General features: G+C 36.0%; 2 annotated features.

The window, feature by feature from the left end:
* Positions 1,793–2,992: an enhancer, noted in NCBI's record as "CDK7 strongly-dependent group 2 enhancer chr13:105998132-105999331 (GRCh37/hg19 assembly coordinates)". NCBI's record gives its function as "activates an origin of replication core promoter dependent on BRD2, BRD4, P300/CBP, MED14 and CDK7 cofactors, with strong dependence on CDK7, by STARR-seq in HCT116 cells {active_cell/tissue: HCT116}" and the evidence as "EXISTENCE:reporter gene assay evidence [ECO:0000049][PMID:35650434]".
* Positions 19,260–20,589: an enhancer, noted in NCBI's record as "VISTA enhancer hs759". NCBI's record gives its function as "enhancer in: neural tube[10/14] | hindbrain (rhombencephalon)[10/14]" and the evidence as "EXISTENCE:transgenic organism evidence [ECO:0001131][PMID:17130149]".

Consider the following 22,377-nt stretch of genomic DNA (forward strand, 5'->3'; position numbering starts at 1 on the left):
CACAGGCTTATGTCTATAAAGTACAACATGTCTCTAAAGGGTGTCCTAAGGTTCTCAGTAGAAAGAGTTATTTGGCTTTCAAGCTTGTAGGGACAACTAGGCTGAATGTTGCTGTTGCTTAAAGAATAATACAGAAATGTAGACAGAGAGCTGATGATTCTGGAATTTCTACAGGTAATAATCCATTGGGTTTCAAAAGAGAGTAGCTGAAAGACATGTTGTAACATAGAAGGTCTTAACACATACGAAGATAAGAAACGCATATGGCATGTGGCAAAATGCAAATTCCACATGCAAATTATGCTATAAAACTCACAGCCTTCCTAGGGGTCTATTGTAGTGAAGAAAAGGAGTATGATGTTATTTGTCCTATAACTCTTGATGTGGGCAAGCCATATTCACTTGGTTGGGTTAAATTTTAGCAGCTATGATATACAGTAAATCTCTTGGTTTATTTCGAAAGAGTATTATGTTAATAAATACAATAGTAAATGCTTTGAATTCTTTAGAAAAAAGGACATACTTAACTAAATTCAAGTTAATAATAATACTTGTTACAAAACAGAATGCCCTGAATTGAGTATATAGTTCCTGATCTCAGAGACTTAAACACTAGTGTGGCATGACGTAGTCACTTGCTTACCCATTTATATAGTACTTTCTAGTGGAAAACAGAAACCCTTAATGTATGTATTTTATATTTCTACAAAATTATTCAATCCCAGAATTTACCTGTAAGTTAGGCAGAACATTGCAAGCAGAAGCTTCATTTTGCCTCAAGGAAACAAGTTTGGTGAGGATTGAAGAACCAGATTTTATTAGCATCACCACATGAAATTTTATATTTTGTTTGTGCTATAGATAGATAAATAATTATTTTAAAGCATCATGATCTATTTTCTCAATGAAATTCCTATGGACATAAATAAAGGTTCTTCTTAAATATTTTAATTTTGTAAAGATACATGCTGTTATATATTTGCATACAAATTACATGCCATATTATTTATGCTTTGAAACTACTCACATTACCTTAAGAAACCCTTTTCTTCAAAATATTTACACTTGACCATTGTTTCAAAATGGCCATGATATTAGCATGTTCAATTAAAATCACAGTTGTCTGTTAGTTGTTGTTTTTACAACAGCTAGGTTTGAATTTGAAGCCACTCAGTACCAGCAAAACTGACATAGCTTTCTACAGTGCACATATTATATTTCCTACGGAGCAACTTGGACTGCCACGGCCATTCAACATGAAATATACCAAGATTAAGGCAGCCAAGCATACCAGCAGAGGGTCATGGCAGGGTGTTAAGTGGAATCCCCAGCTATGCAAAGCAATCAGGCACCAAGCCAGGGAATTCCTTATAGTCCACCTGTGGGGCACACATCACCCTAATGGATGGAAAATTAATGTGTTTTTAATTCCAGTATTCTTTAATGTCTGCAGATATCATTTTGCCCAGTCTGGAAAGCTAGGAAGTCACAGGAAAAACAAAAACAAAAAAACTCGTGAATTAGCAGCTGACTATAGGCTTGATCAATTGTACTTCTGCCCTGACATTGAGTAATGATTTGAGATAAGACACCATACATTTTTCACGTACTCTACAATAAAGTAGAATCAAATTACTTGCTTTATGTGTTTAATTGCTATAGGTTTTCTGTGGCCAAAATTTAGACTATTGAACTTAGTTGATTTCTCTTCAAGAACTCAAGTCTTTTCCACTTAGCTTGGCACCCAAGACTTTCCACCAACCTGGTCTCTCTATATTGACTTTCCACTACAACGCCAAGTGGACTTGAACTTCCTGGAAAAGCATGTCCTTGTGCAAAGTCCTCCTTTATTCAAAAAGCTTTCATCAGCCCAGGATGGCTTTCTATCTCTCCCTAACAAATCTTAATTCAATTAGACACACATGTATTGATCCTCAGACCCATTACGGGCTGTGACTCATAGGTAATACACATTTGTGTTTGTAAATAAATGATGAAATGGTCATGTACAAATGTTTTCTTAAGTGCTGTGGGACATAGATACAAAGATATGATCTTTAACCTTAAGGAAATCAAAAGCTAGATAGGGAGACAATAGTGTAAACAGCCAACCATTAAAAACACATAAAATAAGTTTCATAAAGATGAAGGTGACACAGGAGTCCAGACTAAAAAGTATGAGTATGAGTTCAGGAAAGGCTTTCTAAGAAGGTATTATTTAACTTCTGGGCATTCATATTTAAGTATAGGAAAAGTCATGTCAGTATTCAGGAAAAATCTGAGTCATGCTTGATGGTATGAAAGTGTGAGGCATGTATTGAGAATGTTCAAGAGTCGGTTGACTGCCACTCCTTCCTCCAAGCTCATAGCAAATCCCACTTCAGCACGGAACTGTTCTTAAAGTCCACACTTACCGCTCTTGTTCCCTCATTCCCCATGTGCCTTGTTTATTTAGAGGTAGATATATTGGTCAGGTCAGGCAAGCTAAGCTTCAGTAACACATCAACCCTTACATTTCAGTGGCTTCACCCAGTGAAGATTTGTTTCTCACTTAGGCTCCAAGGGTATCTTAGGCTGGCAGGAGATCAGCTGCACATCATCTTCACTGACTCTCAAGGGCATTGTGGTGTCCTCTCACAGGTCCTCTGTATTTACCCAGCTGCAAACAAAAAGAGGATGAAGGGAAGAAGCTTGGAAGTGATGACCTCGCTTCTCCCCAAGCTTTATGACTGCAACTAGCCACGCAGCCCCTGGAGATGTACAGGGCCTGGGAAAGGGAGTATTCCTATGGACATAGGAAGAACCTGGAAACATTTTATGAACATACAATATTTTGTCTGCCATATCCAGTAAATACTTAATTAACAGGGAACTAGTGACATACCCAGCATATTTGACACCAACGTAGATCACTCCTTAACACCTCTTGCTCAATATCTCATAATTTCAGTAGTCATCAAGACGTAATTTATATTATAAAATAATGGTCATCAAAGAAATACAGTAAGTGTTTTTTTATAATATTCCATATAGATGTTATTAATTATACATTAAAAATAGCAAATGTATTTTATTTAATTATAGTACAAAAAAGGGAAAAAAGCCACAGCTATTATTTTAATAGTTTTTTTATCTTCCTAATAGGTTGAAGTTTGATTATTTGGATAAAGTAATAATACGTAATACTCTTGGGCAAATAATTACCCCGTAACTAGTAAATGGATTTAAATAAAACTAAGACATCAGCAAAGGGTACAATTTTGACAGCTGCTAAATCACATGATGAATGAAGCCTTTCATTTTCTTAACTGATTCTTTAGTTTCAAAATGAAATAATAATAATTTAAAAAGGAAACATTTCGCTGCACAAGATACCCAATTTTATGAAAATATTTCAGGCATGAACTAAAATTTGTACTTTCCAACATGTGCACCATGGAATACTATGCAACCATAAAAAAGAATGAGATCATGTCCTTTCAAGGACATGGGTGAAGCTGGAACCCATCGTCCTCAGCAAACTAACACAGAAACAGAAAACCAAACACCGCATGCTCTCACTCATAAGTGAGAGTAGAACAATGAGGACACATGGACACAGGGAGGGGAATATCACGCACTGTGGCCTGTTAGGGGATGGGAGGCAACGGGAGGGAGAGCATTAGGAGAAATACCTAATGAATGCGGGGCTTAAAACATAGATGACGGGTTGATACGTAAAGCAAACCACCATGCATATGTATACCTCTATAACAATCCTGCACATGTATCCCAGAACTTAAAGTAAAATAAAAATAAAAATAATAAAATTTTGTACTTTCCAAACAAAAATATTTTAGAAAGTACCTTGCATTATGCATTCTGTTTCACCATAAGCTTTAAAAACACATATAAAAACTGAGTGGTTGCATAGAATAGAAGAACTGAAGCAACTCAAGTCCTATTTTTTTAGCCATTATAGTCATTGTGCTAGCATTGTTTATTTCAAATATATCATATAAATGTAGAAATCCGTAGTGCTATTTGGAGACTTCAACTGTGCCCAATTTCAAACTATTATGAACTACTCTCCTAAAACACAAGCACATAGCTGAGTCCCGTCGAGACAGGAACTACGCAATAGTGAATTCTCTAAATTAATTTTCAAGTAAGAAACAGGTTTTATTAAAGCATAATGAGTAATTCTTCTAATTTAAAGGATACACTTGTAGTATAAAAACTCAACTCTGATTATAGTAAGTTTAGAACTGAAACCAAAAGTTCTCTCCCTTCCCCTAGAGGAGTATTTAAATCATTGGCACTGTTTAAAATTGCCAGGCAATGGTAATAATAAAAAGCGGATCAACTTTTAGTTGGTTTTATCACTAGCTTGAAATTTTCTACAGACAATTACTGCTTCTAAATTCTCTGAAGTCTCTGGGTTGTATTGCTCCCACCGCCTTGCCTCTGGAACCTCACTGCTTTTCACTGTGGCAGTGACCTTACCTAGCTAGACTGGAAATCCAATATGATGTCAAGGGGTTATTCTTTTACTTGTTTTGAATCTGGAAGAAAAAAAATCCAAGGCATCAAGTACAAGTCCAAAGAAAATAATTAATTCCAGCTGCGTGTGAATATGTGTACCGTGTGGTTGTGGTCAGATCCAATCTCTAGCAGTCAATGGACAGAAATGACTGTCCAGAAAAACAAATATTCAAAGGACACTAATCGATGTAGCTGTTTAAAAAGCCAATTTACACATTCACTCACTAAATTTTTATTTTACCTATGCATATGATGATCTTACATACCAGGGCTGTAACAGCCAATCAGGAGCCCAGGTCTCTTGTCCTCACTGACCCTCGATCTCATGGCGGAGATAGATACTCAACATGTGGTGCGGCAATTAACATGCAGTTGCAGATGAGAAGTGCAGCTACAGAAACGAGAGTCTGACCTGATTTGAATTAAGCTCTAATGGAAGCCTTTTCCTGAAGGTAAATTTAACCTTTAGTTTCAAGAATAAAGTTAGCCAGTCAAGGAGGTGGGAAAACCATTCCAGGCATTTAGGAAGACCACAGTTATGAAAAGGGTTCAGTCCCCTAGGGAGCTAAAGCAAATTCAATATGGATTTAGCATCGTATGTGAGCAGGGATGCGCTGGAGGGAGAGATGGGGCTGTCCATTCAGCAGAGGACTGAGTTCAGAGTGTCTTCCTGAACAGTAAGGTCCTTGGATTTTTATCCTAAGTATAACAGATGTCACTGAGGAGTCTTACACAAACAAGTGACATGACAAATGTACATTTTCTCTATTTGGACTGTTACACAGAGCCTGGATTGAAAAGGACGAAGAGAAGAAGCAGGCACAAGAGAACAGCTGGGCTATTACTATAATTGGAGGTGTGAGAAAGAGAAGGTCAAGAACTCCTCCCAGTTTTCTGGCAAAAACAAGTTAAAAACATAAAAAAATAAAAAAATAAATTAAAAGCAAATAAATGTGCCAACGACAAAGTCAGAGAGTCCTAGAAGGACAAGCTCGTGAGGGATAGGAAGGTCAAGGGTTTTATTTCATTGTATTAAGAATGGAGATTTTGCTGAGCCATACCGCACAGATATCTAGTCAGTTGGAAACATAAATCTAAGTGAAGAACAAAGTTCTGTGCTAGAGATAATTATTCAAGAACCATTCTTAAACAAAATGATTATACTAGAAAAGATATATCAATTACTTTTCATACAAAACAAAAAATGCGTATTTTGGCATTCTGATTGTATTTTTTGCATCAAAAATACAGTATATGGCAATTCATTTTTACAACGAGAACAATTTATCTAAGAGTTAGTAAGCCCTTTAAAGCAAATAAAAAGCATTAATGTTAGAACATTTCAAGTATATTTTTAAATAAAAGAAATCTATAAACTTGTACTTTACATATACCACTTAAAACAACAGTATATCTATATTTGAATACAACTATGTCCACGTAAAATTTAAGAAGAAATACCACGCAAATTAGAGAAGAAACCAATGGAAGCTATCAAGGATACACAAAATAATAGTAATGACTGCAAAGGAAAATTATTTACTAATAAAATAACATTTTTAATGTCAAAAAGCTAAAATACTTTGCAATCTTGATTTTTGCACCAGCCTTTTCCACTTAATAACTTTATGAAAATACATATTTTAAAAAACAAGAACCAGATTTTTGAATTATAACAAAATGTTTATTCTTCGTTAAAGATAATATAATTTTATATTATTTTAAAAATCAAGACAAAAAAGACATATGTAGGCTATACATATTATTAATATTACATAATTTATATGATTAAACTATATATTAAATAATAAAAGAATTAGGTCAGAATAGAAATTATCCTTCACAAAGTGAATAACTGAAAATATCATGAGCTATAGTTTGACATTCAAGCTATAATATCATTTACTATTTCTGTCTGATAGTTTAATCATGTTCATTCATGAGCCATTTTTAACTATTTAAAATATCAGTATGGTGAATATTGACAAATCCCTCTTTAAAGTTTTGCAAGGAGGTCATAAAGTCTAGAGTAAAATAAATTAACTTAGTGAATGGTCATTTATATTGTAATATATGATTCATTCAGTATGTTATCTCATTAGAAAATGCATAGTTTGATGTTCTGTGCAAAACTTTAATGAACATGGTACACTAATAGAACATTTCTATTAATACCTGAAAATGTATCTGGTGTGTTGCTTCAGATAATTTTTCTCTCTGATATTCAGTGCATAAATGTGTGCTTTTGGCATATTTTAGTAGATGTAAGCAAAGAGATTCTAGTCTACAAAATCAAACTGTAAATAAACAGAAAAAAAAATACAATACAGATTTCAAGAGTCTATGGCCATGCTGTATCTACATTAATCACCAGTGCAAAATTTCTAAGATTATTATTGTCAATTACTAAAATAAAATCCATACTATTTAAGTGTTTGGATCAGTTTTGAGAAGCTCTGGGGAGTACACAACATATTTTCAGTGGCACCCAGGTATGGCGAGGTTAACAGGTTCATTCCACATTCTTAATTATCATGTCTGTTTTTCTTACAATTATATCGTCTGAGAGCTTTTGTATTATAGGTGCCGTTCTGGTTTTTCTTTTGGACTTCTCCTTTTCTCACTGTACTTTTTCAGTTTACAGAGAAACTGGGTAGTTTCACCCATATCATGTGTGCATACATGCGTTTCTGAGTGTCTGTCCATTACCATGAGAAGAGGATGGCCAGGCCACTGATGTAAGGGGATGGGTAGAGACAAAGGAAGCAGAGCGTCCAAGTTGTCCTAACCTTTGGTGGAGTAAAGAAACTATCTACAAAACTTAGGTGACTTAGGACCCTGAACCAATGCACATCAAAACTAAATGCCCATTATTTAACTTAGGGCTCTGCCCCTTGTTTAAGAGTCTCATGTGTTGGTCCCAAGCAAATAGAAGTGAGCAATTTCTTTCGTGTTAAATCTTAGTTAAATGAAAGGTATTGAAAAGAAAATAAAAGTTGAAGTAGTTTTGTAGCTGTTAGATTCATATAAATACAATGAAAAACAAGCTACAAGATAAATAAAAGCAAGTAGTCCCATATATAATTAAAAATGGACTGGCTGAGTGCCTGTAATCCCAACACTTTGAGAGATCAAAACAGAGGATCACTTGAGCCCAGGAGTTTGAGACCAGCCTAGGCCATATAGTGAGACTTTGTCTCTAAAAAAAACTTTAAAATTAGCTGGGTATGGTGGCATGCACCTGTAGTCCTAGCTACTCAGGAGGTTGGCATGGATCTCTGGAGTCCAGGTGGTTGAGGCTGCAGTGAGACGTGATCACACCACTGCACTACAGCTTGGGTGACAGAGCAAGGCCCTGTCTCAAAAATAAATAAATAAATAAATAAATAAATAAAAAGGAAGACGAGACAAAAGAAAACAAAAATAGACAAATGACCATTTTGCTGAGATTGCTTTAGTATGATTGCATGCCACTCTTTGGTGCCTGTGTGTCTCTTCCTCACCGCTGAGACATGACACTAATGTGACTGCGGAGCACCTGTACATACCTCCTTCTGGAGGAGGAAAAATGGTTCAGAATCACTGTAAAATCACAGGTCATACAAGGCTCATGGCTAGGTTTTAAATAGACAACTCATAGCAGCTGGGAGAGTGTGAATACTTACATGAAACCCCCACTGAGGAAATTTGTTTATGCCTTCCCCATCCAGAGGGTTCCAAAAAACATAAGAGATGCTCTTGGGATGTATTTATAATATACTAAACCAGGTGTTCACAAACTATGAATAGAACCTATGGGCCAAGCTCTGCCCACTGCCTATTTGTAAATACAATGTGGCTGGAGCATAGACATGCCCGTTTATGTAGGACCTGTGGCTTCTTTTGTGCTATGATGACAGTGTGGGATAGTTGCAACAGAAATGTACAACCAATTAATTCTAAATTATTTACTATTTGCCCTTTTCATAAAAAGTTTTCCAACCCTTATATTAAACTGTAACCATTCCTTTCTAATACATATATATTTAAGTGCTTTGCAGAAAATATAAACTTTGTCCAATGTCCCTCTATATATACTTAAGAGTAACTAGGAAGTTAGTGACTCCTTCTTTTACACATTTCTGGTTTCAAAGCAGATTATCAAGTAAAATTTTAAACTGCCACCAGGAGATTTAGCTAAGGAGTACCAGCTGATTTTGTTCTAATGCAGTCTTTAAAATAATGTACACTGTGACATATTCAAGTCAAGTACAGCATTTATATGCTACACAGTCAAGTAAACTGTGTAGCATATAAATCCTACCACATTCTCCAAACCAGACAGAGGGAGAATCACAGATGCCCCATGAATCACCTAGAAATCCTGTCAACATATAACAAATTATATGTGGTAGACCCATAAAGTCAATATCAAGTTAAAAGCATTTTTTTTGTCCTCATGTAAAATAAACTCTGGAAGGAGAGAATGATCTTCACATGTCAATGAAAATCTGAGAAAAGGGAGGGGTACAGAACAGAGCAAAATCAGAGTTCAATTCAGAAGCCATAAGGAAGCAGGGGAGGGAGCCATGCTTACCAACAGCAAAGAGTGAAGTCAGGAGTGCAGAAAAGCAAACACCGTAGCAAGAGAAGGGCACCAAAACCAAAGGCTCTCCGAGTGTTGTTTTTTTATTTTTAGGACAGCTGCTCTGGTACAGAGTTCTTTCAAAATGAGTTTAAAAAAATTTTTAATGCCACTGTCTTGACAGGCAATAGATGCCATATAATACTAGGCATAGAAAATAAGTATTTTACAAGAATACTATTTTAATTTTTAAAAAGTTAAATATTAAATCAAAATATTTAAGAATACAATTAAAATGAGAGAAAATATAAATCCCTGAATTATGTTTATGGAAATATGTTTATGAAAATATGATTATGAAAAAAGACTTTTTCTTCCCTTCTATATTAGCACTATTCTAGACGTTTCCGGTAGCATGATATGAGAAAAATACACATACACACTTTTAGGCTGGTGCGTTTTTGTTTAAAATGTGAGCCTATCTCCAAATACATGTGTATGCAGGACCATGACATTGAGGACCACATCTGACCCTCCAATCCAGCCCAGTGCTCAGTGGAATGCCAGCATGTGGTAGATGCTAATGAAATATTTTTGGATGATTCAGTACGCAATTTATTTGACCAAGTGTTAGTTATGAGTAAATTTCAGAGCCAATATTCAAACACAGTTTAGTGTTTATCCAATGTCAAAGTTTAAACAACTACCCGATCTTACTTCTCTGTGATAGAAAACAGAATCACTCATGATGCCTGGCTAACCTGATTTATGGGGTTGTTAGGAAGACTAAAGAGTATTTTATTCCATATGAATGTGTTTTGAAAACTATGAAACACTGGACAGATGTAAATAATTGAATTATTGAGATACAATAAATCTATAGCACTCCTTTCAAACTTAAAAAAAAAATCAGTGTCATCTAGCAAAAGAGAATTGGAAAAGAGACTTGTCTTAAAATAGGTTTTCCGGTTGGGCGCAGTGGCTCACGCCTGTAATCCTAACACTTTGGGAGGCCGAGGCAGGTGCATCACAAGGTCAGGAATTCAAGATCAGCGTGACCAACATGGTGAAATCCCATCTCTATTAAAAATACAAAAATTAGCTGAGTGTGGTGGCACATTCCTGTAGTCCCAGCTACTCAGGAGGCTGAGCAGGAGAGTTGCTTGAACCCGGGAGGTGGAGTAGTTGCAGTGAGTCCAAGATTGTGCCACTACACTCCAGCCTGGGCAACAGAGCAAGACTCTTAAAAAACAAAAACAGAAAAAAAGGGGGTTTTCTTTACCTTTATGTAGGCAGATCTTAACTTTCTAGCATATTATCTCTTAAAAGTTCACTTTTTGTATTATAAGTTCTTAGCTAATGGATTTTTAAAATTTAGTGTAAACGCAGGAGATCATCACATTTTATTCAGCTCAAGTCTTAACCAACTCTTCTCAAATTACTTTTTCCCCACAGATTGAAGCACTCACACAAAAAAAGAACATATGCATTTTCAAAACCTTAAAATCATGGTTTTTGTCTTTGCCACAAGATAAAAACTTTCACCAATTTCCTGGGGTCATTCTTGATCGATGGACATCTGGCCTCTGAAAGCACCACAATTTCCCTGAAGTCATCCTCTATATTTTCACTAAAAGCCTCTCTGCTTGAAGTTCTTGTTAGTAGGAAGCGAATAATAGTGATGTGCTAAAAGAAAGGTTTGATCAAACGTAGCGGAAATGTCTCAACTTCCTCATGTAGGAAAAAAATACTATGTTTCCCCCGTTATCCTTTCTAGATGCATAATTCTTACATAGAAAACGTGTGGATTTGAGATTTTAAAGAATGTGAAACACACCTATGTAGCCAAGAATAAAACGACTCCATAGATTTAATTTTTAATTTCAGTGTTCTCTTCAGACTGAGTTACACCTTTTCTTGCACAGGCTAGCCTTGGGGACCACAGTTCAGATAATACAGACTATATTTCATTTCTGCTGCCTGATTCACATCATCATTTCAAACTTGAATGTACATGCACATCCAGTGGGTATCATGTGAAGCCGCAGTAACTGATTCTGCAGATCTGGGTTAGGGACCAAGATTCTGTGATTCTACGAAGATCCCAGGTAATACTGATGATGCCCGCAATCCATGGACAACACTTTAAAGAAGCAAAGATCCACAGCAACTCAGCAAGTTCCCAACTCATGGACCTGAACCTACTTCTTGGGAACTCCTGTCTGGGCCGTTGCTCAGCAATTAATTCTTCTCTGGCGTTGGTGCCACACGACAACAATATATTGAATAATAATACTGTTGTGTAAATTTCCTAGGGTTCATAGACTATCTGGATGTTTCTATTTTTACTATTTCTCTATGCTTCCATTATGCTCCTCTTTGGTAATTTTTACTAATGGATAGCACAAATACTCTCAAAATGCACTTTGAAAAAAAAGGTGAAGCTTCAGGCTGATCCACGGGTAGTCAATCCTGTCACTGCATTGTCTCCGATTACTGTAGTGTCTCTTGATGTTTGGCGTTTGTTTCATTAGCTTAAGAAGCAAACTCCTAGTACTGAACATCTGAATGTCAGGGTTTAGGTCAAGTGACTGTCCTCCCTCTCCAACCAGAATTAGTTAAAACACTTGGCCCCATAGTGGAAGCCACAGTGGGCAACTGATGCAGGAAATTGACTTCCTGTGGAGACTGCACAACATGGGGACCTCCCCCACAAGAAAGAGATGCTACCAGGTAAGGGTGGATAAGTTTGCAGCAGCCAGAAAGTAACAAGTGTCTGCCATACCCAGGTAATCAAATATTCTATTAAAGTGGCCAGGTGTGGTGGCTCACGCCTGTAATCCCAGCACTTTGGGAGGCTGAGGTAGGCAGATCACGTGAGGTCAGGAGTTTGAGACCAGCCTGGCCAGCATGCGAAAAACCCGTCTCTATTAAAAATACAAACATTAGATGGGCGTGGTAGCGGGCACCTGTAATCCCAGCTACTTGGGAGGCTGAGGCAGGAGAATCACTTGAACCCAGGAGGCAGAGGTTGCAGTGAGCTGAGATTGTGTCACTGCACTGCAAACATAAACAAACAAACAAAAACATAACAATAACAAAAAACAAATATCCTATTAAAGTGTACACTTTAGTTATACAATTGTCTTTAAACAAATACTTCAGAAAACACATAATTTTATCAAAAGAAGAAAGTCAACTGTAGAACCTGCTTGAATGTAACAGGCAGTAGTTTTTATGTTTAGAGAAAGCCATTGCATTTAAGACCTTTTGTGAGTTTTATTTTAATTTTGTAAAAATTACGGAACAAACACATGCTACATTTTCTTTTGAGACTATTTCTCCTTCACAGACAATTATAGGCACACTCCTTTTTACTGTAGTTTGCTTTATTCTCCTTTGGAGATACTGTGTTTTTTTACAAATCGAAGATTTGTGGAAAGCCTGTGGCCAGCAAGTCTATTAGTGTCTTTACATTTTGTCTCTGTGTCACATTTTGGTCATTCTCACAATATTTTAAATCTTTTTCATTATTATTATATCTGTTATAGCGATGCGTGAACAGTGATCTTTGATGTTACTATTGTAATTGTTTAAGGGCACCATGAACCATGACCTTAGAAGATGGCAGACTTAATAAGTGTTGTGTGTATTCTGACTGCTCCACGAGCTGTGCATTCCCCTGTCTCCCTTACTTTCCTGGAACTTCACTATTCCCTGAGACATAATAACATGAACATTAGACATAATAACATTAATATCAAATATTACTAATTTGATATTAGTAATATCAAATACTCTTTAAGTATTTGAGTGAAAGTAAAAGTCACACTTCATTTCTCTTATGTTGAAACAAAAACCCAGAAATGATTAAGTTTAGTGTGGAAGGCATGTTTACGGAAAGAAGCCATAACATAAAAGTGCAAGGTGAAGCAGGAAATGTTGATGTAGACGCTGCAGCAAGTTATCCAAAATTTCTAGCTAAGACCATTGAAGAAAGTGGCCACACTAAACAACAGATTTTCAATGTAGACAAAACAGTCCTATGTTGGAAGAAGATGCCATTTAGGACTTTTATAGCTAGAGAGGAGAAGTCAATGCCTTGCTTCAAAGCTTTGAAGGACAGACTGACTCTCTTGTCTGAGGCTAACGTAGTTGCTGACTTCTGTTTGACGCCAATGCTTATTTACCATTCTGAAAATCCTAGGGCCACTAATAATTGTGTTAACTCCATTCTACCTATGGCCTATAAATGAAACAAAGCCTGATGACAGCACACCTGTTTACAGCAGGGTTACTAAATATGTTAAACTCACTATTGAGACCTACTGCTTGGAAATTTTTTTTCAAAATATTGTTGCTCGTTGACAATGTACCTGGTCATCCATGATCTCTCAAGGAGATGTACAAGGAAATTCATATTATTGATATGTCTGCTAACACAAAATCCATTCCATAGCCCATAGATCAAGGAGTTATTTCAACTTTCAAGACTTATTATTTAAGGAATACATTACATAAGCCTACAGCTGCCATAGATGGTGATTCCTCTGATGGATCTGGGCAAAGAAAACTAAAAACCTTCTAGAATGAATTCTCCATTCTAGATGTCATTAGGAATTCATGATTCACAGGAGGAGGTCAAAATATCAGCACAAACAGTTTGGAAGGAGTTGATTCCAATCCTCATGGATGACTTTGAGGCACTGAAGACTTCGGTGAAGGAAGTAACTGCAGATGTGGTGGAAATAGCAAGAGAACTAGAATTAGAAGTGGAACCTGAAGAAGTGACTGCATTGCTGCAATCTCATGATCAAACTCAAAAGGATGAGGAGTTACTTCTTATGAATGCATAAAAAGTGTGGTTTCTTGAGATGGAATCTACTCCTGTTGAAGATGCTTTGAACATTGCTGAAATGACAAAGAAAGATTTATAATATTACATAAACTTCATTGATGGAACAGCCAGAAGATTTGAAAGAAGTGATTCCAATTGTGAAAAAAAGTTCTACTGTGAGTAAAATGCTACCAAATAAAATCACATAGTACAGAGAAAACTTTTGTAAAAGGAAGAGTCAGTTGATGTAGCAAACTTCACTGGTGTCTTAAGAAATCACCACAGCCACCCTGATCAGTCGGCGGCCATAAACATCAAACAAGGCTATCCAATATCACAAAGGTTGTGACGTTGAAGCCTCAGATGTTCATTAGCATTTTGTAGCAGTATCTTAAAATTAAGGTATGTACATTGCTTTTTTAGACAAAATGCTATTGCACACTTACTATTCTACAGTATTATGTAAACATTACTTTCATGTGCACTGGGAAGCCAACAAATTTGTGTGACTTGCTGGATTTTGAATTCCCTGTATTGCAGTGGTCTGGAGCCGAACCTGCAATATTTTCCAGATACGTCTGTATCCTGTTGTGTGAGGTATGGACCCCAGTGCATGGTGTGATCTGCCTGCTTTTATAGCACTTTCTACTTATTTCAGATTTATTTAATGGACATTGCTGGTTTTTAGTGTCTATGGTTTGGCTCTGTGTCCCCACCCAATCTCATCCTGAATTGTAGCTCCCGTAATTCCCAAGTGTTGTGGGAGGGACCCAGTAAGAGATAATTGAATCATGGGGCAGTTTCCCCCATACTGTTCTCACAGCAGTGAGTAAGTCTCATGAGATTTGATGGTTTTATTAGGGGGTTTTGCTTTCACTTCTTTCTCGTTCTCTATTGCCGCCACCATGTAAGAAGTGCCTTTCGCCTTCCACCATGATTCTGAGGCCTCCCCAGCCATGTGGAACTGTGAGTCCATTAAACCTATTTTTCTCTCCAGTCTCGGGAAGGTCTTTATTAGCAGCGTGAAAATGGACTAGTATATTATCAAAGGAAAAAGTGGTTAATTTAGAAAATCTTAGTCTGTAGGACATTTGTAAATGAACACCATTTGTAACACCAATCATAGTCTCTAGGATGTTTGTAAATGAACACCAAACAGAATGTGTGTGTGTGTGTGTGTGTGTGTGTGTGTGTGTGTATTTGCATTGTTGGTAGTTTCCTCCTTAAACAGAAACATTTCAATAGTCTTTACTGTGCCTAGTTATTTAAATTATTTTTTAATGTAGCAAAGGCCTTGGAATTAATCAGCCCCATCTGCATACACAAAAGACATGACACAGGGAACAAAAAACGTCTGAGGACAAAACTAGGCTTCCTTTCACAGGCAATAAGGGAAATTAGTGTCATCACTAGGTTGAAGACATAAAGAGATTCAAAACTAAAAATCCTTTGAACGCTTGCAACAAGATTCCTATAATCAGCTGAAAGATAAGCAATGATCAAAGCCCTTTAAAACAGTATTGTTTGCTCCATTAGAACTGTTTAAATGTACCCTACTATTCACCAGAAATTATACAAGATTACTGGAGAAAATATGCTATTGTTTCAGCAAAGAACCCAGATGTTTCAAGGATGGTTTTCTCCACCAACGTAAGGTTAAAAGCCAAGATACAAAAACAGCTGCAGTTATAAACCTTAATTATCAGGAACATCCCACCACATAGGTGCTCAGTTGCTCTGACAAATTGATTTATCTTAAAGAGAGTGGGCTGGATTTGGTGTTTGGAGGCTGGGGAAGGCAGATGGGTAAGATGGAAAGTTTGTCCCTGCATGGGATCAAATTGTGGATAGTTCCTCAGACAAACCCTTTCAAAGTGCTCACAAGTTTGTTAATCTCTTAAATATTTCTTTTTTCATTTTGTCCATCTTATCCTGGGTCTAGTATGATGGGAGAAGAGAGGAGAGCAAGTGTCTGCACACTTCATTACACTGTTGTTTTGTGCAATCTCTCGCAGGACATGACACACAGCAGGGTCACAGTGAGATCTGAGAACGTTCCTTAGCAGGAGTCTGCTGTTGCTTTTGCTGATAGGAATTTGAAGGGGACATCTTCTGTCTCCATCGTTAAACCTTTTAAAAATTTCATGCCCGTTGCTTATTGTCACTAACTGAAGACGGGGACAGTATAAGGAGGATTTTAGAAACTGATTTCTGCCAGCCATTTTGAAAAAAAATAGCAATTTTAACTTTATATTCTAGGTCATAACAGTTTAAATGTCACAGTCAGCACCACGTCTGATGCACATATAGAAAAAGGGAAATGTTATAAGTTAAGTGTAATCTCTAAAGATGTGTGAATCAGATCAAAAAGTAAGCATGGCTTCATGCTTGTGTGTTGTGTCATATTTAAAACTTCTAGCACAGATCTGAATATGTTTATCTCTAGAATTTTTGGAAAATGTAAACCTAAAACCTAGTTTTTCAGTATTCTAAAATGTCCCAGGTAGTCCTTGAAGATGGGTCAATTCCATGACAACTTTTTTTACCGTTAACTAACTTTCATAAATGACATCAGTCCCAATTCCATTTAAAGAGTTACAATACAGAATAACCACAACAAGGAGCGTAGTGTTGCTATGTTAATCAATGCTAGTCCTTTTTTTTCAGGTAGTGCAGTGTTTTGTATTTAAGAAATGTATGATTATTTTAGGAGACAAATATCATGCTGAGAACAACAATGCTAGGTGGATACCTGTGAAACAAAGACAAGGTGTGGTCTCTGAACTTTGGCAGCACATGGATCATGTTGTATTAGAAATTCTGCTCACAACTAGGATTCACTCTCCCATCTTATCTTCAAATCCCCATGTTACACTATAGGTGCAGTAAGTATAAAACAAACCTAATTAGTATTCTTAGATAATGCAGACATTTAAAAAGCACAAGTCATTTTTGGAAAACGAAGAAGTGCAATGCCACTGAGTTTACCCTGAAATCATGAAAATGGCTTGATGGAGTGCTAATGTACATATGCTTAACAATAAAAGGTAAAATCTCTCACCATCACTTTTGGTAGTCATTTCTCTCCGACCCCCACATGTAAACTAATTCCAGGGTAATTGCAGGGTGATAGTTTTGATTTTCTGTATTCCAAGACAGTAATTCTTGAGAGCTATTTGCATCACAACTACTATCAGTGGCTACTAACTCAAATAACAGCGATAATTATAATAATCATTACGTATTTACTGAGTATTCACTATGGACTTTGCTAACCATACTCAAGCATACTGTCTTTCCAAGATACAAATGTTTTAGAAAATGAAATTTCTAGAGGTAAGGCCCTGGCCTCATTCAGATTATTTCAGTTCATATTGGGATTTGAAAACAACTGTGAAAACGAAATATTACTTTCCATCTAAGTTTAAAGCCATGAGGATTAGAGCTCATTGATGAATGAGGGACTTTAGAAAGCTTAGAAAAAACTTGGCCTATTCTCCCCTAGATGAACAGGAATCTTAGAAGAGATTCCAAGAATCTCTTCCGAAGGCTTTGATTTGTTTTCTGCTATGACCCTGAACTCATAGTACTATGCTTTCACTCTTTTCTGCTGTTAATCCATATTTCCAAGTTTCTTGAAAACTTTTGAAAGACCATGGTCCAACATTATATCTGGGACCATGTAGATACAAAGCAGGCATTGTGAATTAGCATCTTCATTTTGTGTGAAAAAGATTAAAAAGAGTTTATCTTTGGTGTTTGGAGTTCTTTGTACTGAGGAAGGTGTGAGGTTTCAAGGGAAGTCTATATACTCTAGGTACCTGAGAAAATACTTCGTAAAATTATTTTAAGAAATCTTGACCTTCCAGGCTTTCACATATGCTGGCCTTTCCATTTGGGACAATTCTCTGTCACTCCAATCCCTTTTAATTGGTAAAATCCAACTCATTCGTCCTGAATCACGAATTACTATATTTTATAAATGAAATGCAAACTATCTGGAGGAGACAGTGTGGACTGGAAGTTCCTCAAGGGCAGGCAATGACTTTTTTTTTTTTTTTCTTGTATTACAGTATCTAGTACCTAAAAAATGTATACCAAGTAGACTTGTAAAATATGCTTTTTGAATGAAAGGAAAGAACTTTCATGGGTAACATATCATTTTGATACTATAGAAAAATACAAAATTTACTTTTATAGGTAAGTTTTATTGAAAAAATTTGGATTCTTCTAAATCCAATTATTTTTCAGCTATCAAAATCTAATTTTTAAACATAGCTTATGGAACATCATTATCTTTAAATTATTTAATATCCAACTAGAAAAAGATAGTTAATGCATATACTCTGGAGGTGGTTTAAGTCTCATCTTAGACTGTGATAAGCTGTACAGAAAGTACATGGCAGGGAACATACTTTCTCCATGAATATCTTCATTAGCTAGACTTTAAAATAATACTTAAAATGAGCAGATTTGTTCAGTTGCCTTGCTCTTTCCATGAGAATCACAATTCCTTTCCAGTCTTCTATTTCATAGAAAGGCATCAATTTTGAACAACAGTTAAATGATTGACTTTGATATAAACCCTAAGTAATTTTGAAAGAACTATTCAGAGACATTTTATATAACATACTAAATAATCTTGCAGAAACACTATCATAAAAGATGAAATTCTTTGGAGTGAAAGGCTATTGCATGAAATCGATATAAAATGTAAAGGGTTAACCAAGGCTGACTTTTTTAAAACCAATTTTCGGTGGTTAATATTTGCCAAGACCTAAAGGAATTGCTATTTTGCATGAAGTAATACATTTCACTGGAAGTGAGTTAAAGTGTTTTTGGTATTTGCTCTACATGAAAGGTTATATAGGCAGTGGGGAGGAGGCTGAGTTTTATGATATGCTCTTCACATCAGGTCCTAATATTTGGATTTTGAGTCTTTAAATATACACTTATGAAATATTTTATCTTCCTGATAGAAGAAATAGGCTTGTTAAAACCTGTTTAAAACATACCCTATCAAAATGCTTACTACTGACTGGGCATTTTCCCCATGATTCCATTTTAACTTACCCGTGTCAAACTCCTGCCTCCTAGCCATTTTGGCACGGTTAGCTTAATGAAATAAAAAAGAATTAAAAAAACAAAAAGGAAAAAAGAAAGAAGGAAAAAAAAAAAAAAGCTATAATGGGCTAGACTGAGCTGGTAGCCCTAAATGCTTTTTTTCCACTTGGATTTGTTTTAATGAATACCATTTCAACCTGCCCTTATTCACCTTTATGTGGAACTGGTATTTGAATATATCAAATGTCAGCATTAGCAGCACAATTTGCATGCCTCATTTTGAAAGCCAAACTCTTCTGTTCAGAGGGACAACATTCAAATCACCATGCAACATTGTTTTCATAGTTACAGATAACGTAATTTGAGTTTTTCCCCTATAATGCTTTTGGGGAAAAAATAAAGAGGATAATAAGAGTTTTATCCCAGAATGAGGTCACCACTGATTACTTGGGCCCAATCTCACCACATCTAGATAGAGCAAACTCCATCATACCTAATGCCTGCATGCAATTTTTTTCCTCAATTTTCTAAAGAACAAGAAACATCTGCCTTTTTCAGTCTCTTCACAGTATCCAACCCCATGCACAGATGTTTTCAAAACCACGTTGTCTGTGAACATTTAAAGGAATACTATATTTGCATAAACTCTGGGAATTCCAAGCTCTGTGCTTTCCAAACTGTTTTAGTTTTTTAAATCAACATTTTTTTGTTCTGTACCCATCATTTTGTTTTACTCCTCATAAAGCAGACATTGTGTGCACACATCTGTTAAATGTGGGCTGCATTTATTGCAGTTCTGTTCTTCCAGAAACAGGAAGGATTAATTACCACAGACCGGCTCTAGAAGCACCCCCGTGTTTCTTAACACACAAAATTAATTCAGAGTTGACAAAACTCTTTCAGACACAGCCTGCTTCCTGCTGATGGCGCTTTATTAGCATATTCTTCCCAGAAAAAAAAATGCCTGATGGACCCTTTTTACCTCTCCTCTGAGTTCAATTTGTACAGCAGTGAGTGACAGGCAGCAAAATGGCTTGAATATATCTAAGGCAAGTTGCCAAAATCCTCCCGATAGAAGCACTTTGGAGCCTTTGTTCAGAGTACATTAAAGTCACAGAAGGTCCATGTACTGTAGACGGGACGGGGCAAGCAGGATGTTCTCAGTAAGACAAAACAGCAGGTGATAAATGACATTAAATAACAGTGAGAATTTACCACAGACTAAATTAACTACTGGAGTGAAATGTTCTCAGCTCTAAGGCTATATTAACAGTGAATTTATAATTAGGCGATTATCATTCTTTTTAGTGTTTGAGGAAGTCTATATGTAAAAATGATGAAGACAGCTCTATTTGACTCTGGAGACACACTGCTGGAAGTGGTTCTAAAAACGCTGGAGAATAATTCTTCTTTCAGGACTTACAAAGTCATTTATAAAAATAAGTGTTGGAAGAGAATTAGATGGTTGGATATCTTATACACACACACACACACACACACACACACGGAGTTTATTAATAATTGCAACCTCAGAGAACTGACTGCCAGAAAATTTAAATCCTCCAAAGTAAAAACTTGTAGATGTCCTCAAAATTCATCAGTAGTTGATTATTGGAATAAAATGTTTTTCGGATAAACGTTGATTTTGTCTTTGTCTTTCCATGACAGGCTGTATCCTTAAAAAACAGATATTTATTTTCTAAATCTTAAGAAATTCATTTATGATGTTGCTTGTACTTATAACTTTAAAAGAGTCCTTTCATTTAGATTTTACCCTAAAACCTCTGAGAATCAAAAGAACTGCAATATAATCTTTCAAAAACTGTCAAGAAAAAGAATGAGCTGCTAAATTTGTCATTGACTAGGTTGTCCTAAAATCAGCACATAGCAATCGTTTCTGTCAAACACCCTTAAACAAAATAATAATTTAAAAACCTACAATAATCTTCAAATAATTTTTCTTTACTCATTATTTTTCTATGCTTATGCCCAGTGATTAGTGCTTCACTGTTTTCTGAATATTCATACGAACCCTTCCCTTCCTAAAAGGGGAACAAGTTCCAAACGGTGTCAGAAGCACATTTGGGTCTTTGGTAGAATTCTCACCATGTAACATCTTGAGCATTTTCCATGAGGATGTCTTGTAAAGCTAGAACACTTCACTTTGGGAACCAAGCCCTGAATGTCTAGACACATTATAATGCTTGGTTACAATTGCATTTCCATTGTAAACTAGTATGCATTCATTCATAACTTTCTCCAAAATTCTCCTTTAGGGCTTTAAACTCTCCAGGCTTAGCCTCAGCCAAAAGTGAATATTTGGAAAGTTTCTGCTAACTCCATTTTTATCAGATATTGACTTATATGACTCAAAAAATCATTTTCCATATGTCCGTAAGAACGATTACCCAAAAATGTAACCCAGGAGGAGCTGACTTTTATAATTTAAAGTTTTGAATAAGACTAGTCCTTTGAGAGACAAACTGAAAAGCTGGAGTAAGAGTTTCAAATTTAAAGCCAAAATTTGTCTATATACATGCATATTCCACTGAAGCATCAATACATCAACACACAATTTTATTTTTTCTCAATTCTTTTGGGGATATCCCTCTATGTGCTTACATATTATGTCTTGAAAAAAATTATCAGTGAAGTCTCAAATAATCTATTAGAAGTTCAAGGCTAGTGGAAGAATCTCTTTATATGGAGAGGAGGATAAATTTTTCTAACATGGCTATACTTCCTAATAACACGTTCAGTCCCCTGACACTTGGTTCTGTGCATTACATTGCATATGGTGCTTCCAGACATCCTTTAGAAGTGTATGAGATTGGCTCTGATGTGGTACATTGAGAAAGTAAAATAATAATAATAAAAAGAAGTGTGTGAGCTGTTGGTGTAGGTAGAATGGAGGATTTTACAATCTGTATTATTTTGAGTTTTTTTCTTTTCTTTTTTTTTTTTTTTTTTTTGCATAACCTAAAATGATTCTAAGTACACCACGTGTATGAGATGATTACATGTAGCCTTTAGGCAGATTTGCTCACTGCAACCCACTTCCTCTCTTCCTCACTCTTACAATCCTCTCTGCCTATCTTGGTCACCCAGAGTTCTGAGCTTCCCTGGGGACTTGCTTCTCTAAGACATTAACTAATGAACACTGAGTTAATGACTTAATGTATTAGCCTTTCCAAAATTATTTTTATTTAACAGGATAGTAATAAAAGCAAGAATAATTCAAAGTAAAAAATAAAGCTAGTATTCCAATTTAAGATATTTGGCACTTTGTCAATGGGAATATTTTATTCAAAGTCACTTCACAGCAAGACATTAGTAAATTACTTATTTAACTTCTATGCACCTCAATTTCTTCACCCAGAGAAAAGGA

Source organism: Homo sapiens, chromosome 13 (genome assembly GCF_000001405.40).
Source record: "Homo sapiens chromosome 13, GRCh38.p14 Primary Assembly".
NCBI classification, from domain to species: domain Eukaryota; kingdom Metazoa; phylum Chordata; class Mammalia; order Primates; family Hominidae; genus Homo; species Homo sapiens.